Source organism: Homo sapiens, chromosome 6, assembly GCF_000001405.40.
Source record: "Homo sapiens chromosome 6, GRCh38.p14 Primary Assembly".
NCBI classification, from domain to species: Eukaryota; Metazoa; Chordata; class Mammalia; order Primates; family Hominidae; genus Homo; species Homo sapiens.
The window spans coordinates 128,305,318-128,330,346 of NC_000006.12; the positions used below are offsets into that span (position 1 = coordinate 128,305,318).

The following is a 25,029-nucleotide window of genomic DNA, read 5'->3' on the forward strand; positions in this document are numbered from 1 at the left end:
CTACATCTTTAGTAGCTTAGAGGATTTAAAGTTTCCTTTTTTCCACAAAGAGTCCATAAACATATCAGGCTTGAATAGTTAGTCTAGGTACTTTCACTATGACTCGCCTTGTTTATATAAAACAGAAATGTAAGAAAACAAGTCTACTAGAATCTAAATGTATTATTGCTATGGTAGCATTACTTTTCTCTGGCTGAGAAAGTCAAGAAACACACAAAAAGAAAAGAAATCAAGAAAACAAATAGAAATGAAACATTTATAGTTAACATTTAAAAAACAAGTAATTTAGGAAAGAAAGGCTATCCATGCAGGTTGAAAATTGGATCTTCAGAAAAATACAGATTCTGTCAATTATTCTAAGTAAAACTCAAATGTTTCATTTTTGCCATAATAAAATTAATAGCATCCTTTAAACTTTAACTACACAAATGAATTGTTATTAAAAGAATTTCACCCAGAAGAACCCAAATACAATTTCATAGAATAAGACCAGTATCCTTCTACTAATCAATCCCTCAGTATTTATTAATTATGTGTTATATGCTAGCTATTATGATGGATGCTATAGGGAATGCATTAGTTTGTTCTAACACAGCTATGAAGAAATACGTGAGACTGGGTAATTTACAATCATGGCAGAAGGCAAAGGCGAAGCAGATATCTTCTTCACAGGGTGGCAGGACAGAGTGAAGGGGGAAGCCTCTTATAAAACCATCAGATCTCCTGAGAACTCACTCACTATCACAAGAACAGCGTGGGGGAAACCATCCCCATGATTCAGTTATCTTCACCTGTTCTGCCCTTGGCACATGGAGATTATGGGGATTACGATTCAAGATGAGAATTGGGTGGTGACACAGAGCCTAACCATACCAGGGAATAAAGGAAAATATAAGAATCTGTACCTTTATTTCAACAAAAACATTCAAGAAGGTTATAGCTCAGTGAATCATGAATGCCAAAAGAATGATAGAATGGATTGGATTTCTATTTGCCAGTTAGTGGAGCAATGGATACAATGGAATGAGCTAATAAGTGAAAACAAAAATGCAAGATAATTTAAAGAGAAACTAAGTTAGAAGACAGATGTTATAAAACAGAACTGGGGCTAGACAAGAAACAGAGAGAGCCTTAGGGACCAGCCACTTTACTATGACAAAGAGGAATTAATAATGTTACTTTCATTCGAGAGAATCGGCAAGGTATGGTGGCTCATGCATGTAACCCCAACATTTCAGGAGGTTGAAGCCAGAGTAGCTTGAGGCCAGGAGTTCAAGGCTAGCTTGGTCAACATAGGCAGACAGCATCTCTGAAAAAAAAAATTTAAAAATTAGCCGGGTGTGGTGGCATGTGCCTGTAGTCCCAGCCACTCGGGAGGCTGAGGCAGGGAGGATCACTTGAGCTCAGGAGTTAGAGACTGCAGTGAGCTATGACCACAGCACTGCATTCCAGCCTGGGCAACAGAGTGATATTTTGTCTCAAAAGAAAAAAAATTAAGAGAATCAAAATTTATACTTTAGAAAAATTAATACTAATATGGTGTCAGCTGCACATGATCTGTGTGGGGAAAACAGAAATTCAAGAGGTATACTTGAAACATTTCGGAGGTCTGAGGTTCAGGTCACATGGCATGAAATAGGGTGGTAGTAGGAATAAAAACTATCAGATAAAAACTCATTTCAAAGGACATGTTTAAAGGATCTAGATGCCAGTTAGATGTAGGGGGAGTAAGAAAGTGTGAGAAACTGGTTCCATTTTAGATATAATTAGTTTAAGGTGATGTACATCAACATGGAAATTTCTAGCAGGCAGATAGAAGGCTCAGAGCTCAGAAGAAAAAAAAATATATATATATATATATGGATATATACATACACACACACACACATAGACACACACATACAAGACAAACACAGAGAAACAAAGAAAAAAACACAGAAAAAAATGTATATGCATGAATCCAGCACTAAGGAAGAGTATCATAAATATCCTACTTTATGCTGTATATAAAATCAAACCCAAAGTCATCAAATATTTAAATTGGAAAGGCAAATCATAAAATTTTTAGAAGAAATATAGAATTAAATAACCTCAGTGCTGGGAAGAGCTTCTTAACAAAGTCATTCCTTTTTTATTTGTAAAGTAAAAAAAAAAAAAATCAAAAAAAAATCAATATTAAAATTAAGGCTTTTTGTCCAAAGAACTATAAGAAACTGAAAAAATAAACCCAAGCCAAGACAAGCATGTATTATTGTCAAATGATTACTATCTAGACCAGAAAAGAAGGCTTCCCAATTGATAAGAAACAGATAAACCAATAGATAACTGAGCAAAAGACACAAATGAAAACATGAAAGGGAAAGAAACACAAATATCAGATATTTGAAAACATGCTCAACCTCAATGGTAGTCAGAAAAATTCAAATTTGGACCACAATATTATCTTTACCTAATAGGAAAAATAATCTGAAAATGTGCAAATAAATACCAAGGGTTACTCAGCATATGCATCAATAGAAATGCATACTGCCAGCTGGAATGCCAATTGTTCAGTCATTTTGGTGAACAGCTTAGAGTCAACAAGTTGAATACATAAACCACATGACTTAGCAATATCACTACTTAGCAATATCATACACATGTACATGAATGCTCATAACAACATTTTTAAAAATATTACCACTAGAAAACCAGAAAACAACCCAACTATCCATAGACAAATGACTGAATAATCAATTTCAGCTTATTCAAAAATAGAATGCTATACAACACTGAAAAAAATGATTACCACTACATAAACCTGGATATTGACTGGGAAAAAAAAATCGAGTAGCCAAAAAATATACAAATCATGATACCATTTATAAAACATTTGTTAACTGTATAAAACAAAATATTTGTTTAAAGTAAATTAAAGAAAAAAGAAACAAAATGATGAACAAAAAATTCAAAATACTACATTCCTTAGGATAGAAGGAAAGTGATTAATAGAGAGAAACTTTTAGGAAGTACTGGTAAGATTAAGTCGATTTCCATAAAACATACATATATTATTATTATTTATATTTCCTGATTAGTCATGTATAAAATATTTCACCAAAAATAAATATTAATAAAAGAAAATTAAATACACGAACTGCTTGCATTTAGAGGAATTTTTTTTAAAAAGGTGAAAAAAGAAAAAACGATCAAAAAAGTTTACCAAAAAATAAAGGATAGTATAGGCTTTTATATCTAAGGAAGGAAGGAGAGTCCAATAATCTCAAATATTACATGGAAGTCAACGGGAATAAGGACTTGGGAAAAGTCAGAGATATCTCATCAGAAGACAGCAATTTTCGACGCATGAAAGGAATAGCAACCAAGTTACAAGTTATGAGACAATTTGAAAGGAACTAGAGGCATTAAGTAAAAACCACCCTACGAAGTCCAGCTATGAAGAACATATGTCCAGAAAGACAGGGCAAAGTTTTTCACTGTCCTTCTGTACATCAATTCTTCTTAAGTTTCATAAACTTTCGCCAAGCTTTGCAGCTGAATGAAACCTTTACATATTTGCAAAGAGACAGGTAGGCATCAGTGGACACGTGGTGTACACCGGAGTAGGCCTGGAGAAAAGAATCAAAGATTCAGGAGAAGGCAGATCATTGTTAAGGTTACATGTCACTTTTAAATAAATAATATTATAATCTTGGGCACTAAAAAATGATAGGGTTGCCATTCTCTATATTAAATGTCTCACCACTCAACAGTCAAGTCAATAGGTTATCAATTACAACCCTGCTAGAGAACAACTTCTTAATTCAAAGATTTAATATTTTTCATTCTTTTTTCACTTACCACACAGTCTAATCCAACTGAGCATTCACTAGACCTTTTTAAAAACTGAGACCAACTAAAAGACATGGTACAGACATCACCTCTCCTACTCTCAATTCTCTTAACCCCTGGTGCAAGGACAAAATCTTTTCCTAATAGGGACATGGTTCCTCTTGGAAGAGGAGTGGGAAGTGAAAGTTAGGGTATAAATGGGGCTTCCTGGAACAAAGCTGATGGCAGAGAGGGGTGGGGGAGCCTAGAGTCCAGGAGTAATCAGAAATCAATTCAGATCATCTAGAGAGTAGGAAATCATTACAGACCAGATGCAGGAGTCCTGGTCTGCAACCAACGTTCGGACCCTACACAAGGCAATGGCTATGCTGAAGTGTGGTAGCTGCTACATAAAGCAGCTTGCTGACCTCCCCACACTGGAGTTACTGCCGTCAAAGTCTGTTACCTCAGCAGCTGAAATAACTTCTCATCAGCCTCTTTGTTTTATATTATGGAAGGAGAGAACCTTAAAAAAACTTAAGAATTAAAAAATGTTGTGTGGCCAGCTTGTAATAAGAAGTACAAATGTCATTCTAATTCATATTTTCCAAACCATTCCCTCTGAATTAAGATATTCTGATTTTTTTTATTTCTCCTTCTCATGGCTAATAAATTAACACCATTTTTATAGAAAATTTCCAATTCTCCCTGGTACCAGTTCACTCCCTCCCAACAATATGATCACAAAAAATGGTTTAAGTAATCTCCCTTATCCACTGTCTTTCTAGTAGAGGTAATAAGATTGAAAAATAATATGGAAAGTTCCAGTCTCGGTGCCTACAAAAAAAATGCCATCCACTTATATGCAGGCTAATCAGAAATGCAAAGGTACTAGACAATGAATAGCCTTTCTCTTATCTTTCTTTTCTAAGCTTAGTGAGCTACTCTGTCTTTACCCAACAAGCACATGCTTTATTAAGTTAGTTATAGATGACTAAGCTTTTACTTGGATAACAGGGGAAGTAGATTGTGCCTTCTTTCTCTCTGATTTCTGGTCACTCCATAAGATAGCTGATAGATATACATGGTCTCACTGGGTGTAGAGATGATTTGTTAGGATTTATTGGCTGAGGTGAGAGGATTGTTTCTGTAACATGAGCTCTCTCTGAACTAGAGTGAGACCCAAGGCTGAAACTCAATATACGGCATAACCTCTTGACAAGGGTAGTCCACTGAATTTCAGTTAGCATAGTGATAACTAAGAAGCACAGGATAACGTTGCCTTCCGTATCCTTTGCTGGATGTTTTTCCAAAAAAACAAACAAACAAAAAACTCCGAACAAGGAAGACACAAAAACAAACTCATTTAAAAATGCTGTACCTTACACAACTCAGGCCCATAGCTAAATAACTCAACTGGCTCCAAACTGGGAAGCAAATGGCAATGAAAAAGCAGAAAGGACCTTTTGCTGCACTGTGAAGGCAGCCCACTGACAATTCTCAGAGGCAAGTGGCACCGCAAAAAGGAACTCTCAACATGAACAAGGAGCTTCCTGCTGCCAATCAATGGAGTACTCTTGGCTGTATGCTGAGTGAATGCCATTTATTAACTGGGCTGCATTAAAACCAGCAGGTCCATTTGTGAACAGCAACCCACTTTATTCTCCAGGAGATCTTGGGGAGTAGCATGCCCTTCTATGGCACAATGAATCTTACTTGGCATATTGGACACAGAACTTGTCCGACTTGGAACCACTTGGTACTTAAAGCAAATAAAGGATTAGAACACCCAGGTGTAGGAGATTAAGGACTTAACAGGCAGATGGAGGAGAAGAGCATAATCTGGACATCCTTCAGCTTTTATTATAAGGGAAAGTTCCCCCGGGATCCCAGCAGAAAGAACAAACTTAAATGAACAAAATTTAGCAATTCTGTTGACAAAAGAATATTTGAATAGACTTTTAAAAAATATGAGTTTGTAAGCCAAAAACCTGATTACCTTTCATAACAAAAAAATAAATCTCTACCCAAGAGAAAGGGAACTAAGTAACAAAAATATGCCTTGCTTTCCACAGGTCATCATCTAAAAATGCGAACAACGCAACTTCATAGGTCTAGTTCAGACCGATGGGGCTTGAATCGTACAGTGTGTGGATGTCCAGTAAATGCTGTGTTATGGGCCCCTTTGATCTGCTGAATTCAGTCATAAGATTGACTTGTAAAAATCATCACTGTCATCACATTGTTCTGCTGATTAGCCTCTTCTGAGTGGTCCAAGCACCGAGGAGTCAGACAGAAAAATCTCCCACCCTGGATTTGGAAACTTCTCAATAAGGTACAACTTTTTCAACATACTACTTCCCTCCTCATTTCAAGACCCTCCATGTGGGCCAGAGAGAGCAGTATGGCTGGCCCCTTACACAGTATGATCGTTCTCATTTCTGACCACCTGAGACTGCTATCTATGCCTTATAATTGGGAAACCTCAAGTGCCTTTTACTCCTGCCTTTACACACCCACCATTTTCATGCCCACCATAGTAGCTCAATTTTTTAAGAGACAGGGTCTTGCTATGTTGCTCAGGCTGGATTAGAACTCCTGGGTTCAAGCGATCCTCCTGCCTCAGCCTCTCAAGTACCAGATCAACTTTTACTGGACCCCAGAGCCTATGTGTTTCTTCCTTCTTGGAGATCCTTTATTAGTACTATTTTCTCCACAGTACTAATATTTTGATCCTTTTCCTTCCCATTTAAGGGTCATGACCAACACTCCTATCACAAAAACAGGTTAACAAGAGAAAAACATAACAAATTTATTTGATCATAGTTTAGACGACACAGGAACCTTCAGAAGGAAGACCCAAAGATATGGCAAAAAATCCATTTTTATGCTTAGGTTCAATGATGTATGGACACCCATGTAGAAATATGATTTCACATAAAGAGTATGATCTAATTAATGCTAGTAGACTGAGGTGAAGAAACCCAGCAAGGCCTGTCTGTTCAAATTCTTCTTGGCCACTTTGTACAGCATTTCTTCCTCCTGGGTACAGGGCAGGACCCTTTCTAGTATTCGGGTCTTTTGACCTACATGCAAATAAGACAGGTCAGATAATTTCTTCATGGCCAGTTACTTCACAGAAAGGCAGGGGAAAGTTAGAGCAGTTGTTTTTAGGTGTTATGGCTGGCTTTGAAGAAAAAGAGAGGTTCTGGTTTCTATGCCCTGCCATGGGGAAGAGGTTCCTGTGGAAGCCAACTGTAGTTTCAGTGGCTAGCCTTGGGGGAGTAGAAGTGAGAAACAGGAAGGAAGGAGAAGGTCAGAGAGAAACTTTTATTTCTGAAACTGCTTCGGAGGTCTTCATTTTGGAGATTGTTTTCTGCACCCTAACAACTCTTTGGACATTTAATGACACAAAATACAAGGCTGCCAATGTGGATGTTTTATCTCTCTCAGAAGACTTTCTTCCCCTCATTGTTTAATTATGGCATTTTCAAACATATATAGAGTTAACGATAATAGTATAACCAAGTCTCATTTAACCATCATTTTCCATTAAAAATTATCGATGTATACGCAATTGTCTTAGTGGACTTTATATTCTCTAAGGAAAAGTATAAAATTGTTTTCATTTTTTTTTTTTGCTGGTTTTGTCCCTAAACACAGACTAGTGCTAAGCATGTACTAAGAACTTAGCACTTGGTTGTGGAAATGAATTAAACTTCAGTTCACCAAAGTTCTGAGCATTCCATGAAGTATTCAGCCTCATCCAATCAATTCTTGGATACACAACCCATGAAACCATTCAGTGTTTTTAAAGAAACATTAACAAATAATATTAAAGAATAAGTCCCCTGAGAAAGTGTATGCATATAAAATAATTCTAACTTTATTCTTGTACCATCATTGAATACTTAATCAGCAAGCCAATTTTCTTTTGACACCAAGACTGGAAAATCATCACCAATATACAGTCTGGCACAGGAGACAGGGACTAGAATTTCACAAGAGAGAGGAGGGCTAGCTCTATTCTCACTAGAAACAAGACCTAAAGCAAGTCACTTACCCTCTGTCAGCCCTTATCTCTAAAATAAAAATAGTTGTACTTTTCCCAGTGACCCCATAGTGCTATTGTGAGGATGATTTTTTTAAAATTTGTACAATTGCTTTCTGAAATATAAAGCACCTAATTGTTATATTGTCTTTATGGGACACCCTGACCTTTTTAAAAGAGGGCCTATAATACTATTGGAGGAAAAATACCTGAAATACATATAACAAGCAAAATGTCTAATAAGCAATACAGGCAACACACGTCCAAGGAGAAGGGAGAGACCACTGAGTGCAGAGGTATTAAGCAAAGGCTACGTGGCAGAAGTGGACATAAAGTTGGGTCTTAAAGGACAAACAGAACTTGGACAATGAAAAGGAAGAAACAAAGCCATTTCAGGACATACATATATTACATCCTAAAAAAAAGAATGGTAGAAAGATTAGAGTAGTTGCCTGAGGCTAAATGACGAAGGACCTCAAATAAAGGCTGAGTGTTTTGACTTTAAAGGAAACACTGGCAAAATCTGAGGAGCTCAATATCAGCAAATTAGCATCTCCCAACAAGTAATTGACTTATAATAGATTTTAAGGTGAGAGAAAATAGGAAATTACCGTTATCAAGACCAGACACAATCAGAGCTGTGAGTAAACAGTAAAAAAGACTAAAGAAAAATATAAATGGGAAGCACGTACAAGATGAGACTAAGAATGAGTAAATAGGGTCCCTTGATAAAAATTATCTGAAAGCATTAGGATTCTTTCCTCAGATTGCAAAGCTCACATAACTGGAATCTACCCATCTCATCTTGAAAAAGGTAACCTTTGACCTCTGTATCTGTCTCTGTCCCTCTGCAATGCCAATTTCCTTCCATATTTAGGTCCTTGGTTTTTTTCTGTCTCTAAGGTATTTCCCCTGATCTCTGCATGCCTAGTTCGTTTTTGTCATTCAGATCTCCAGGTGACAGTTCTTCCTAGAACACCTGGTCTAATGCAGTTTCTAAGACTTCTGCTTTCATATTTTTTAAATTTTAATTATTTCTTTAGCACTTGTTGTATTCTAATCTTTTTCTCATTTATTTATCTGGATTTTCTCCCCCACTGGCTCTGACCCCTAGAGTAGAATTCCTGGGACTATAGGAACCTTGAAACTTATTCAGCACTGTCCAACCCCAGCACCCAGAAGGGTGCCTGGCATGGATTAGGTTGCTCAATAACCACTCACCAAATGGATAAAATAAATAAGTCAGTACAGCAGTCCTTCAGAGAGAAAGTGTTTCTGTTTTCTTCAGATCTAATTGGGTCCTATGCCTTCTTCAGGCTGGGAATTCCACTTCCCTTAAATGCTGTGAGTGATTCCCAAATCTTTTCAATTCTGTCTCTTTTCTACTTAACTAGCTCTAGTTGGTGTCTGTTATTTTTAAATAAGAGCTTTAAATAGACAATTTTGTGAACCTAATAAATCACAGTAGACTAGCTATCATCCCATATTGCAGGGACTGAAACTCAAGAAGTCCCACAACATAGTCACTCAGTGAGCAAGGAGGCCTTGACAGAATGGACATGAACATGTGATAATGGATATTAAACACAGGTCAAATGAGAACTAATCCAAACCTTTACCCAATATACAAAATGGCCTCTACTTTTTTCTCCACCACTATTTAAAAAAAAAAAAAAGGAGACCTTCTACTTCTAATTCTCACACTTCATGTCACAATGTCTAATATACGTATCAGAAAAACAATTATTTGGTTCTCTTTATTGTTCTGCTTACAATGGGTCTCACTCCAACCCCCCAAGACATAGAAAGAGGGGGTTAAATGAAAGAAAAAAACAAACAAACAAACAAAGGAACAACAACCAAAAACAAAACACAGAAATTCATCCTGGTATTTATGGAGCTAAATTGACTTCATCTCTTTGTAAGCCTTACATTACTAAAGTTTACAACCAAACCAAAAGTGTCTTTTAATAAATATAAGCCCAGAGAACCATGGTATCTGTTTCTAATTATTATATTTGTGATGTTGTTGCAAAATGCCAGGATCTAAAGATATTTAAGCTTGAACCAAACCTTGTCTCTAGGTACTAGACATTTTTCATTCTTTATTATTTTATTGAATTATTACTTGGTATAAATTTGACTATAGACCTTATTTTTAAACATAAAATGTGAACTGATTTACTGCTTCTAGAGGGCTGAGAAGAATGATTTTTTAACAGATCATTCAAAGAATATTAAGAATCTAATTCTCATAAGGGAATTCCAGTGGTGTGTGCAATGATTATTTATAACTAAATGCAGAAATAACATGTAGTAGCTAGTTTTATAATGATAGTTTTAAGAACACCTTTTGAAAATCAAGACAGCTAAAATTAACTATAAATTGTCCACTAGATTACATGAGTAAAATTTAGTGTCCAAAGTTTGTTTTCGTTTATATTCCAACCCCACTAACAACAGAATAATTAGATTCTATGTAATATTATGTAATGAATAATAAAATTGAAAAGACTACAAATGTCTGACATTTGCTGTATATTTCCTTCTTCCCACATTCTCTCAAATGAAAAATGTATTTGTTTTCTAAGAATTGAAACTGAAATCACCACAGCACAAAAGTTAAATTTTAGATAAAAAACGTATTCGTTTTTGTTTGTCCCTTATAACACCAATATTTTGTTCACATATTATATACACACTGAAGTGAAGAAAAATAAGTCTTTGAAATGAAAATGGACAGAGTTCACACAAAAATTCAAGTTGTTCAAAAACTGGAAAGCCCTAAAAACTAGACCAATTCCAATTAACTATCAAAGTCAGCAGACAACATAATTGAAGACAAAAATAATTTTAAATTGTTATCTATTTGTCATGTATTATATGAAACAGTATAGCATTGTCAGAAACATCATTAAACTGATTAGACGGAAATGGTTCTCACATTTATCTGCCTGATCAATGTACGCTAAATAATTAATAAAGAAGTATGCAAAACAAGAAATCAGAAATGTATTTTTTCAGATTCAGCAAACCAAAGTGAGTGCTAGTTGAGAACATAAGCAAAGAACTGGTATCTCTTCCACTGCTCCTTTTAGCATCTGTCTTCCTCATTCCCCTTAGATAAAACAAACTCCTAAGTAAGAAAAAATCATGCATTGAACAAACAATGCTTATTTCTCCTGACCGCTCATTATTTTTCAATCAGTTACTGAAAGGGAATTGGACTAATTTATGGAAATATTTCTCAAAAGAAACAATGAAGGGTACTGTGGCAGCTGCCACCACCCTACATAAAAGCAGGTATGACTGAGCAGAATGAAAAGAGGCTTGTCACAGATTTACATTAATTGTTCTGTTAACTACCAGGGCTCTTTTGTTCATCTGTTAAAATTTATTTACACAACCATAAGTTTCATCAATGAATCAACAACAACTATTTAAAGTCAAAGTAGAGCAGACATTTTGTAATAAAAGCAAATCACCATCAGGAACCAGAGAGGTCACCTTCACAGGGTTCTAAGCTTTTTCTTTTTTTTTTTTTTTTTTTTAAATTTGAGACAGAGTCTCACGCTGTCGCCCAGGCTGGAGTGCAGTGGTGCGATCTCCACTCACTGCAACCTCCGCCTCCTGGTTCAAGCGATTCTCCTGCCTCAGCCTCCTGAGTAGCTGGGATTACAGGCACCCGCCACCATGCCCGGCTAATTTCAGGATTCTAAGTTTCAAGAAAACAATGACTATAATAATATGAGGGCCTTTCCAACCCATTTGGGGTACTCTGTTTGCAACAAAGAGAATCGTTAAGATTAAAAAGTAGCAGCAAAGATGTTTTGTTAATAGCCTATCAAATAAAAGGTATTTTGCCAGTGTAAAAATAAGCCACGATGACCGTGTTAGGTAAATCCTGTTGCCGTAACTAAAATAAGTCTATCTAGTTGTGGCTAACTTCAGAAGTCACTGATACAGCTAAAGACCAAACTCATAAAAATCATACTATTTTACTAAAGACAAAAAATGGGAAATAATATTGCTCCACCACTACGTAAGCACAACTTCAACTGTGCATGAAGGTAAGAAACATTTACTTAGCACACGTTCAAATATTAATACAAGTAAAAGATGACAAACATGAAAGTATCCAGCCTAGTATCCCACTCACAGTAGATACCCAATAGATCATCTTTCTTCCTTCCTTTCTAGCCTGTTTAGTCAGTGATCCACTGTCTTATAGCCCTGTTTAAGTCTTCTCTCTCCAAATAGATTGAAAAAAAAAAACTGCTTCATTCATTGGTAGATATATATTTTTTTAAATTCTGCCACGTGTCTCATATGTGCCATCCACAAACAGTATGTGCTGACAGGTAGTATTGCTTGAAAGCTTAAGACACAACATGATGTATAACAATGCTTTTGGCTGCACAGGAGAATAGTCATCTAAAAATTCTTTAAATAATTTTATTATTATTATTATTTTGAGAATAGGACCCAGGCTCCTTGAATGCCTTCTTCTGTCACCCTGTTTGTCAGCTATTTCCTTCCTCGCAGTTACAAAATGATCACAATGGCACCAAGAGCCATGTTCTCATACAACACTCTCTTTATTATCAGGGAGGAACATCTTTCCCAGAAGTTTCCTGGCAGACTTTCCTTCCTAATTGACCAGAACTGTGTCGCATATAGCCATCCTTACCTACAAAGAAGCTGGGAAAGCAAGTAAGCTGGTTGGAACTCCTGCCACTATGGAAGAAAGCTAGGAGAATAACTAATAAATAGACAACAAACAATATCCACAACACTGCTATACAAGATCATGAGCAGAGTCACTTACAATGCTTATGCAGGAAGTTACCGCTATATGATATATCTAGAGAAAAAAAAATCCTGCTGCTTGTCTTTCTAAAGTGGGTCTCTATATGGATGAATGCAGATCAGCAAAAAAATTGGAAGAGTTCTGAGAGCTATGACAGAGGAGGGACATCCCCTCTTTTTACTCTTTGCATGGATGGTTCATGAGTATGTTCTTCTTACACAGGCCTCTGTGCCTGAAGATCAATCTTTTAGAGGCTTTTTATTCAAGTAAAAATGGTCACTTGGTTTAAGCCCCAATCTTTTCAGATCCAAAGCCAGTGGAATCTCTGGAGTATAACAATCTTTCTACTGACAAAATATCAATATAATATACATTAATATAACCCCTTTAAAAGGAGACAAAAACAGAAAATCTCATGCCTGTCAATTCTTACATTTTTTTTCAAACCAATGGAAAATGTTAAGAAGAAAATGCATTGCAAAAGTTGTGTTTGTTTCTCCATGTATTGGGGGAGAAAAAGGCACTTTCTGCTATACTATCACATTCCAATTTCTGGACAAACCCCTGTAGTTTTCATCACACATCATTTTTGTGATTAATGATGGGCACCCAGTTAATGGAAAACAGTAGATTAGGTTTCCACTAATAGTTTTGCAAGTTACATACGTCTGCCTGCCTCATTTAGTAACAACCTCACTGTTCAGTAAGAAGGTAATGGATTTAATCCCAAAGCAGAACTTAGTTTTATGAATACAAGACAGGTCAGATTTCCAGAGTGGAGAAAATTACGCTTTTAGAGGTATGCTGATCTTCAGCTGAAATTTAATATGGAGATGACACCTAAGGATTTGCGGGATTTTCCCTATTTACTTCTATTTAGCAATCAATTTAAGAATCTACAGTACTTATTTGTGGCCCATAAAATACGTAGAATAGCATCTTTCAACCATAGCAAATAAAACAAATGTAATACGATAATTTCTATAATTAGTATAGTAAGCTGAAAAGGCATTGATTGTTCTGAACACATAGGTGAAAAACAGTTTGTTCCTTATATGTTAGTGGATCACTGTAATGATATGTCAAAAAGCAAAATTTACATTTGCTGGCTCTAAGTAAGTGTGATTTAAGAAAAATACACAGTACAGTGGAAAGCATCTAGGAATAGAGGAATCGACAAAAGAATTCTAGTCTCATTTCTACTTGAAATTACTTCAGAAACTAAACTATCTTTTGTTTTTGCTTTCCCCACTGCATTTTATATTTACCTCTCTTATGTCATTTAACCATCGCTATGGTATTTCAAGTTATATCTATGTATATCTCGCATTTCCCATCTGGACTAGCCTCCTTAAGAGCAGAGCAAACATCTGATTTACATTTTTATCTTCTACAGAGCAAAGCTAGGCTGAGAACTTCATGAGAAAAGGGACTTTGCCTGTGTATCCCCAGGAGTTAGCATGATGTGACCTCACAGTATGTGTCTAATAGTAGATGTTACAATAAATAAAAAACTTGAAAAGAATGTCATGCTTTCAAAATAAAAGAAAATGGGGATATTCTTTAAGAACCTGATGGAATCTCAAGACTGGCCTCCAATATCTGGTATTTAAAGCAGTTGAGTTTCTCTTTAAATATAGAGACATCAGCACCTAAAACACCAATCAAAAAATTCTACCGTGTTTTGCCAGCAAACCAGCACTTACCAAACACTTCACAGGTATTGATTTGACTTTGAAAGCTATCAAAATGTATGGGAGATTTAATGTTTTTCATGTTACTTTCCAAGAGAAAGAAAGCACATAAATATAGTTTATGTTATGTTGGTTGTTTCTAATCACAAATGTACAGGTACAACTAATAATCTAAATGATTAAATTGATAAAAACATCAAACAAGTAATTTACTGAGCACTAAGCACATGAATAAAAAGTACTCTGTTGTTTGCTCTCATTGATTAAGTTTTGTAGGTTAAGGAAAAAGATGTGAGAGCAAAACAATCACTTAAGAAATTATCTATGGCTCAAATTTTAATCTGCAACAATGAGACATTTACCCATAGGTTCCATGTATTTATTTAGTCATCATTTTCTCTGACAAAACATCTCCAAAATGATGTCACTGGCCAGGCTGGAACTCACCCAGGCACTTTTTGTACTTCTTGCTTAAATACACCACAAGCACATATAACGAAGGGGGTTTTGTCATGCAAAATGAGACTGAACAAAGAATTATTAATCCAGTTCAAATTACTGTAACTTAATAGTAGAATTAACACCACAGTAATCTGTGCCATGAGAAAATGTTATTAACATCAATGATTCAAAGATAGATCTTTAACAACTTAGAAAAAATAACTACATGTATGTTATTTCGTAGTTACGAGGAAAAAGAAATATATCACAGATATACTACTTGCTGGATTTATCAACAGTTACTTCTATGTTGTTATTGTTCTTGTTTTAAAGTACAACTGACAGTCTGATTCCTTAAAGAACTATCTACACAGGAAACAAGTTGTGAACAGGGTTGAATACAGGCAATCTGACTTCAAAACCCATATTTTTAAGGAGTGTGCTAGATTAATTTTTATTGGGGGTTTTAATTTGTTTTGTGGAGGCTGACTCTGTTGAATCAGAACTTCTTTCCAGTGCTAAGTTAAGCTCCTATGACAGATTCTCATGAAATCAGTACAATGATAATGCATTGTGAGAGTGACCTGGTGATGACAGCCATCAACCCACTTTTGTCAGAGTTGAGCCCACTGATCTTGCAACAAGTGCTCTAGCATTAGTTTCACACACTCCCATCCACCTACCTACCATATCATATATGCAGCCCTCCTGGGGCTGTGGACCCTGAAAAAGCAGATGGCTCTCTCTGACTGAAGAGAAATATCCTTATGCTCCGGAATAATAGAATCAACTTGTATCTAATGAAAATCCATTGAAAACTCAATAAACATACAACCTTGAACTGAAAATCTTACCTGTGGAACCATGCCTACAATGTAGGAGGCTTTTAATAAAACAGAAAACTCAACTCAAGACAAAGCAATTAAAGCAAAGCATTTCTTTTTTCCCCTTCAAGAATAAAGACAAACCTAACTTAAAGACATAATTCATTTTTAAAAGGCAGAAATAAAACTATTAGTTTATATATTGCTTGCTGACCATCATAAAATATACTTTTACATAAATGTATTCTCTTTAGGCTTTATAATAAGCTACAAATAAACAAGTCCTTTAAAAGTTTAAATCTCAAGGTCTAACACAAAATTGACCTTTTAAAGAAATAACAGCATCCAGGGACGGAACCTCATAGTGAGGGTTACTGAACAAACTCTCCAAACTAGTAAATGAACCTTTTTTTTGTTAAGAGCATATAAACTCAGTCACAGAATCATAAAGTGGGTACTGACACTATTGATTGTCTGATTTAATCATAATTCAATGAATCATTTCTGAAACAAACATCCAAAGCTTTGTGAATAACTTATCCTTTTTGGCTTATTTTTATATGTCATTTAATTTATTCAATTAATTAATCAAAATTAAAATAATTAATGAAAATGCCTCCCCCTTAACATAGTTCATGAAACTCTACATCACATTTATTTCCCAAATGTTACTTTCAAAAAGTCAGTAAATCAGTCCAGTCTGAAGATTACAATAAACTCAAAAAGGCTATTTCTTCCTGAACAAAGCTGTAGGAAAGAATCTGTCAATAAGTAGCTCTTTGTCAAACCACCAACAAATTTTGGACCTAAACTTATTTTAACACATAGAAATACTTTCTCTAGTTTGAAGGTTTTGTGCCAATGTCTCCAAACACTTCCTCATCAACAGGGTGGGGAAGAAAGAGGGGCAATCTCTCATTACCATGGGATGCATATGTATATCTATGTATGACACTTCCCCAATAATGGGGGTGGGGGAGGCAAGAGGGCAATCTCTCATTACCATGAGATGCATATTTACATCTATGTATTACACATATAGTGAGAACTGATGACATCAAAACATACACCAGAAAAGTACAGATGATTACCTGATATTCATTGGGCCAAAAGGTGCTCACTGCTAGCTCAGCCCGAAGCCAATCTCTACCCGTGAATCCAGTCACATTCCAAATTGGATTGGCAAGAGGTCCTTTATTCACCCTAACTAATATGTTCAAAGTGCCAGGATTCAGTCCTTTCTGGCTATATAATAGGTAACTGAAATCAATGCAGTGAGTGTCGTTCTCCTTCATTGTAGGCAGCTGAAGTCTGGCTTTTTCTCCAGGGTCGTGATCTGAAGAGTCCACTATCATATAGGAACCTGAAATGACATTACAAATAATAATGCTAAAGAGATATATAAGCAAAGGGAACATATAACAATAAAAATATGCTAATCCATTCTGAGCATTAAATTTAAGTTAAAAAGACTGTTTTCCAGAACACAGCCACAGAAATACATCAATCAAATAAGTAGATGAACTGAATTCTTACTAGGTAACAGACAGTGTTCAAAGTACACATTCTGTATCAATTCATTTAGTCTCCACAACAACCTGTTATTATCCTATTTTACAAATTAGGAAATTGAGGCACAATTAGTAACACTCAAAGCTGGGTTCAAATCCAGATCTCACTCTAAATCTCTGGTATTACTGAACACAAGTCTTTTAATATAATATATATATATATGTATACACACATACACAAAAGCGATACATTATTGGCCTGGTTTACACAAAGGGTACACCTTTATTTTTCGCTATCCAGAATATTATTGCAGGGAGATGTGCTTAGAGTGCAAACAATGGAACCATTTCTAATTTCGTATTGGAAAATCATCATTTATACAAGTTATGTGATCATTTGTAACATACTAACTTTGAACCTCAGTTCAGGGAATGAGGACACTTTGTAGTGTCAGTATGAGGGCTAAAGTTAAAAATGCCTAGAGCTGAGGATCAGGACACAGCAGATTTCCCCACTTGGAGTCTCACCCACTAAGGTGTCAGCTAATCACCACTGCTACTGGCCCCAGTTCTGTAACAGTCCCTAAACTCTTGTAGAGCTACAAGAAACCCAGTTTAAAATCACCAATCTACTCTATCCCTTTGACTTAGTAAGTGTTCATTGGTTATCTGTCATGAGGAGGCACAGGACATAGAGTCCCACTCTCATAGCTCACATATAGACTTTCCATTGCAGACAAAGGCCACACAGAGACTAAGTACAAAAATGAGACTTGAACAACGGGCTGCTGCTTTTAGTCCCAGAAAACTCTCCAGTAAGACAACCAATTGTTCTCATGTCATTGTGGATTTTAACAAAGACACATATCACAAAAATGCAAATATGCCTATTTATTACACAGAAGATGGAACACAAATTTTATTGTAAAATATCTTTTTTCTTTGCTAGCATGTAATTTTAACCAAAATATATCAGATGTAGTGTTATAAAACTCAGTGTTATAAGAGTTGCACTTGACCCTTTCTTCCTGACAACATGTAAAAGTAATCAATCTTCTGCATTCCCTCCCCAAAATTTGTACCCATGACACATTAACCACTCAATAACTACTAGTCTAACTTGTTCAATTAACCCTCAACAACAGATGCAAATCATGGCAGAGAGGATGGTGTCAACTATTTGAGAAGCCAAATTTCAAATGTGACCGATTGCCACTGAGTGGTAGGTAGCCTCTGGTTGAGAGCTTTTGGGAAGATTTCTGTAACACTTCAGTATAATCGAAGTACAGAATAAACAGATCATAGTGATAGTGGCTGATATTATTGTTCACTTCTTTTTCCTAGTTATCATCTTCTCTTGTAAGCTAGGATTCTTTTTTTTTTCTCTCTTTCTTTCTTTCTGAGTCTCACAGACGGCACATTAATAGAATAAACTGTCCGTGTGTATTTTGGAGAAATTATGTCTTTATTTTTAAAAAGGATATCCTGGATCCCAACCCAATTTATAGAAGCAGGATGTTTCTATTCTTTATTATATTCACATTCTGAAGTCAATGGTTGATTTGGCAAGATGTCTTTCAGATTTGCCACTGCATAGCAGACCAATCATTCCTTTCAACGAGGACCAGCCCTGAGATCTTGGATAAGTTACCTAGTGTTTGTTACTGGGCCTCAGCATCTTCACAAACCTGTAGCCTATTTCTCCACTACTATAACAGTTCCACCCCCTCCCCTCAGTGGAATATTATGGCAGTAGTGCATTTAAATTATTTTTAGAGGTCTGTATCAATTATGGCTTCTGAATGTCAACTTTAAAGTAGTAATCTCTAAATGATTTATTGGCTTTCTAATAGTCATTTTTTCCTATTATAAAATAAACTTTGGAGTAAAAATATGCTTTGTGTCACATTTTAATTATATAGCATAATATTTACTATAAAGACCATTTAGGAATTTTCAGTCAGTTGTACCCTTAAGCTACAATAATTATCTGTCTTATTAGGGAAACCGGATGGGCAAGGTATATTCATTTGTAGGCATTATCAATTTGATCACTAGGAAGACAAAAGTCACAAAATAAAAGCTTGTCTACACTATTTCAACATTTCAAGCAAGTTAAATAATAAAGAAAAATAGTGTTGATAATTCATCTCTATAGAATGTTTCCGCTAAATGGCCCTCTTTCAATAATGCCTGACTACTGCCACATTCTCCGAGTGCTCTGGAATAATAATGCATTTATTGCACAGTTCCAGAAAGGAGGAAGAAAGCACTAGCACCAAAAAGCCATCTAAATCTTTCTGCCTACTGACTTGATATAACGGCAATTTACCCAGTAGGCACTAGGGAGGAAGCTGCCTGTCTGAAACAAAATTCCCTTCCATCATCCCAAACACAGAAGATACTGTGCTATTCTTATCAACATCTAAAAATCACTTCTGTAGTCTCCCAGAATAACTGGCTCCCAATCCTTACACTTGGGAAATTATACAATATGTACTTCTCTCATACTTTATGTTATAATTTAAGCTTATTTACGATTGTTCTGTTACCAGCTAACTAATTCCTCAGATTTCTAACAAGAGTTTAGTTATCTCAAGGCTTAATAAAACATCTATGTTCCCACACATACAATGTACTAGCTTTTAATTAAAACTTCTTTAAAGTGGCCTTACAAATATTCCTTACAGTCTCTTGATCAATAGAGTTCTCAAATATATCATTCAACACAGAGAAAACTATATATGCTTTTTGTTTGTTTTAAGTGCAACCTTTATAGACAGCAATTTGACATAAAAGACCTTTAAGAGATATTCATGAATAAAACATCAAAAGCAATTGCAACAAAACCCAAAATTGACAAATGGGATCTAATTAAACTAAAGAGCTTCTGCACAGCAAAAGAAACTACCATCAGAGTGAACAGGCAAACTACAGAATGGGAAAAAATTTTTACAATCTATCCATTTGACAAGGGAATAATATTCAGAATCTACAAGGAATTTAAACAAATTTACAAGAAAAAAACAAACCCATCAAAAAGTGGGTGAAAGATATGAACAGACACTTTTCAAAAGAAGACATTTATGCGGCCAACAAACATAAAAAAAAAGGTCATCATCACTGGTCATTAGAGAAATGCAAATCAAAACCACAATGAGATACCATCTCACGCCAGTTAGAATGGTGATCATTAAAAAGTCAAGAAAAAACAGATGCTGGAGAGGATGTGGAGAAATAGGATGTTTTTACACTGTTGGTGGGAGTGTAAATTAGTTCAACCATTGTGGAAGACAGTGTGGTGATTCCTCAAGGATCTAAAACTAGAAATACCATTTGACGTGTCAATCCCATTACTATGTATATATCCAAAGGATTATAAATCATTCTGCTACAAAGACACAGGCACACGTATGTTTACTGCAGCACTATTCACAATAGCAAAGACTTGGAACCAACCCAAATGTCCATCAATGGTAGACTGGATAAAGAAAATGTGGCACATAAACACCATGGAATACTGTGCAGCCATAAAAAAGGATGAGTTCATGTCCTTTGCAGGGACATGGATGAAGTTGAAAACCATAATTCTCAGCAAACTATCACAAGAACAGAAAACCAAACACCACATTTTCTCACTCATAAGTGGGAACTGAACAATGAGAACACATGGACACAGAGAGGGGAACACACACCAGGGCCTGTTGGGAGGCAAGGGGAGGGAGAGCATAAGGAGAAATACCTAATGTAGACAACGGGTTGACGAGTGCAGCAAACCACCATGGCACATGTATACTTATGTAACAAACCTGCACATTCTGCATATGTATCTCAGAACTTAAAGTATATTTTAAAAAAAGAGATACATACCTTCTGATCTGGGAATTCCATGTCTACAAATGTATACTAAATAAACCATCAGGTATGTATAAAAGATACAGCTTTAAAAGATGCCTAACTCATTACACTATTTAAAACAGAGAAAAATTAAGTATTCTCAATATTCAATAATCAGTAATTTGCAAAATTACAGCAAATCAATTTAATGAACAATAATGCAGTCATTAAGAATAATATTATTTTAAAACATTTTATGGAAGATATTTACAATATGTTAAGTAAAATATGCAGGTTATAAAATATTAAACCCACTTATGAAAAATACATATTTGTGTTAAATAATTATATCTGTGTAAATGTGTGTATATTCACATATGCACACACATACACTTGTACATATGACTGGAAAAATATGTAGCAAAATCTTAACGGTATATTATCTGGTGGGCTGTAATTGTCTTCTAGGTTTTCAAAAAAGTTTTTGCATATGTACAGTTTCTGAGAGTTCTATAATGAATAGGCATTAGATTTGCACATTTTTATTAAAACAGAGACTACATGAATACTATCTTACAAGAGGAAAATCAAATGAATAATGATAAATAGTAAATAAACACAAGCGTGTTTTTTAAATCTTTTAAAAATAAATTCTATTTGTATTTATAGGATACAAATAGGATCCTATAAATAACTAAATATTTCAAAAAACACAATACAAAAATTGAGTACTTCTTATTCCAATTCATTAAAAAAGAGAAAGGCAGAGAAGACTTAAAACAAATGACAGTTTTTACTAAAAAGAATGGGCAAGGAAAATAACATAATCTAGTATATAGATGAATATGTAATGCCCTATGGATTTTATACATTAATTATTTTTTATCTTTAAGTTACACTTCTATGAATAAGGTATTTACATGGGAAATTGGATCAATAGCAAAGAAAATAATTCATGATAAATAGATTTCCATACTTTCTTCTAAAACTCCTTTATATATGTATGTGTTGGTATACTTTAGTACACTAACATAATATTTGTATTGTCAGTTCTTATTTAAAATCTGTTGAATGTGCCCTATAAACTAAAAGCAAAATTTCAATTTCTTTGCCTAGTATTCACAACTTTCCATGATCTTATCCCAAAGTAACTGGTCATTTTACCTCCCACTTCTCTTCACAAACCACCTTCTCCAGTCTGACAGACCCCTCATTATTTTCTCCACACATCATGCCAGTTTTCTGTCCTCAAACTGTCTCACAGTTTCTAAATGTCTGATTCTGGCCCCCAATTATACATTGCTTTTGTGCCAATTTTAAATGATTTACTGGGATATCTCTTGTCAACCTCAGAAGGGTAATTTTGTTCTCTTAGAAAGCACCTGAATTATTCAGAGTCCAATCAGAAGAGAGAAGCCACACAGTAAATTTAACAGTGAAAATGTAATATAAAGAATTACTACCTATAAGAAGATAGAAACTTTAACGCTGTGAAGAAAACCTTAAAGAACAATCAAAGTACCCAAGAAAGAAACCAATATAGACAGGGGAGGTTGCTGAGAATCAGATTTCCTTAAAGAAGGTGCAGTTGCAGCTCACGGGAAGATAAAGTCTGCTGGGTCACTCAGGCCAGAGCCAATCCTGCTCTAGGGAAGCTAGGGAAACAGGACACATTCTCCCTGCAGCAGAGTGGCATGAGGCCTGGGGTATGTGTGTGCCACAGCAAGGCAGTCACCAGGCCAGGTTTGTTGCTACAAGCTCACTGAGGGACTATGTCTGCTACATGCACACAGCTCCGTCCACTGTGCAGTACCACCAACTAAAAACAAACTTAGGATCACAATTCAACCAAGAATAGATGATCCTTCTTTCTTAAGTGTCTCTCCAGTGCCCTCTACTGACAAAGCTTAACACTGTGCCAGCTGTAAAGCAGAACCGCTTAAAGGGTCAAGTGCTACTATGACAGGGCAGGTAATGAAGGACAAATTTTAAGCTCCGGGGCAATAAATTGATAACTGGCACCCTATCTAACAAGGGCTTTGCATACAGTAGAAGTCTAATAAACACTTGTTACTTGATTAGTTAGATTACCAATTGAATGAGGAGACAAAGACACTAGTTAATAACATGAACAATTGAGGCAGCACTAGTTCTAACTATATGTGAGATAAATTACCAGAAAATGTCAAAACAACAACAAAAAGAAAAACAAATGAAACTAGTTTATGCTGCTTCCAAACATAAGGATTTAATGAACGAGTATAATGTTTGGAAGTACATATTTAATGTATTTGTCAGAGTCACGCTGGTATATATAAGAAACCTTATATTAGAACAAAGGTTCTCAAATGTTTTAGTCTCAGGACCCCTTTATACTTGTGATACTAAGGATATCAAGCAGCTTTTGTTTCTGAGTTATATCAATATTGACCATATTAGAATTTAAAATGGAAAAATCTCAAAAATAATAATTTAAGATTAGCAATGATCTCATAATTTACTATATTTTCATGAAAAATAACCATTTCCCAAAATAAACAAAAAAGATAGTAAGAAGTAATAAGCATTGTTTTACTTTTTACAAATCTCTTTAGTATCTGTCTCAATAGAAGGCAATTAGATTCTCATTTTTACTTCATCTTTCAATCTGTTGTAGTATCATACATTATGTAACCTCTGGGAAATTCTTCTATTCATTCATCAGAAAATGAAAGAGAAAAAAGGAAAACTATATTTCAATGTTATTGATAAGCAATTTTGACCTCATGGATCACCTGAAAGAGTATGAGGGTCTACAGAGATCTTTGGATCACATGTAGAGAACCCTATATTTTAATATACATAAATCTTTTTATCGCTCTGCTCTAATGAGAACACTATTAGTGCTTTTATTTATGTTGAGTCTACTTCACTCATTCAGTCTCTGCAGGGTATAAAGATGTACTCTATAAAATCAGTTAGAAAACAAAATCCTTCACCAGAGTGTTGGATGTCTGAAGAATGAAGATGAAAAAAGTTGAAATTTTCTACCCTAGTACGAAGGATATATTAGTCAGGATTCTCCAGAGAAAAGGAATATATAGATAAACACACACACACACACACACACACACACAATATTACAAGGAATAGACTCATATGATTGTGGAAGCTGAGAAGTCCAGACTCAGGACAGGAGAGCTGATGGTATAATTCCAATCCGAGCCCAAAGGCCTGAGAAACAGGACAGTCAATGGTATAAATTCCAGTTCAAGTCCAAGTCTGAGTCCAATAACCAGGAGAGCCATTGGTGTAAGTTCCAATCTGAGTCCAAGTCCAAAGGCAGGAGACTGATGTCCCAGCTTGTAAACAGTCAGACACAGAGGGATTTCTTACTCCTTATTCATCTCAGTACTTCAAGCGATTGGATGAGGCCCACCCACAGTGGGAGGGCTATCTGCTTTACTCAGTGTACCATTTCAAATGTTAATCACATCCAGAAACATACACACACACACACATCCCTAGAAATAATGTTTAACCTAATATTCGGGCACCCTATCGCTGAGTCTAATTGACACACAAAATTGACCGTCACAAAGGGCTTTCTTCCACTCTAGTCTCTCAACATCAGAGAATCAGATTGTTATGTATGAGCGGAGGAGTACAGAGGACTAAGTAATATTCTATCCTCATAAGAAAAGTATTTTTATGTGTTCTGGAGACCATCTTGAATAGCTACCAAAGCACCAACGCACTGTGCAAAACAGCTAGCTCTTGGCATTGAGTGAGATTTTCCCAGTAGTAACAAAGAACATGCCAGAAACTGTTGGTGTAAAAAAACTAAAGACACTATACAATAATATTGCTTCATGCCCAGACAGCTTAAGAAGCAATAATCAGGATCTCTAAGTAGAAAGAAGAGTGACAAGTGAAATCATGATTTGGGTCTCAGCCCATCGGGGATATTTTTTTTCTTTGTTATAAAATTAATCTCTCTAAGTACTTCTGTTGCTATTACCTTTGTGCTGAAGGCAATGCCATTACCCTCCTTTTCATATCGTTCATCTTT

General features: G+C 35.5%; 1 protein-coding gene across 6 annotated transcripts in view; it reads right to left on the bottom strand.

The window, feature by feature from the left end:
* Positions 1–25,029, bottom strand: part of PTPRK (protein tyrosine phosphatase receptor type K) — a 551,815-nt gene that overhangs the window by 336,533 nt on the left and 190,253 nt on the right. For 5 of the 6 annotated variants that reach the window (NM_001291984.2, NM_002844.4, NM_001135648.3 and 2 more), the window contains exon 3: positions 16,722–16,993. The exons of the other annotated variant lie outside the window; for it this stretch is intronic. In NM_001291984.2, coding sequence (NP_001278913.1) covers positions 16,722–16,993 — 272 coding nt within the window. The remainder of the gene's footprint in view (positions 1–16,721; positions 16,994–25,029) is intronic. 6 annotated transcript variants of the gene reach the window in all.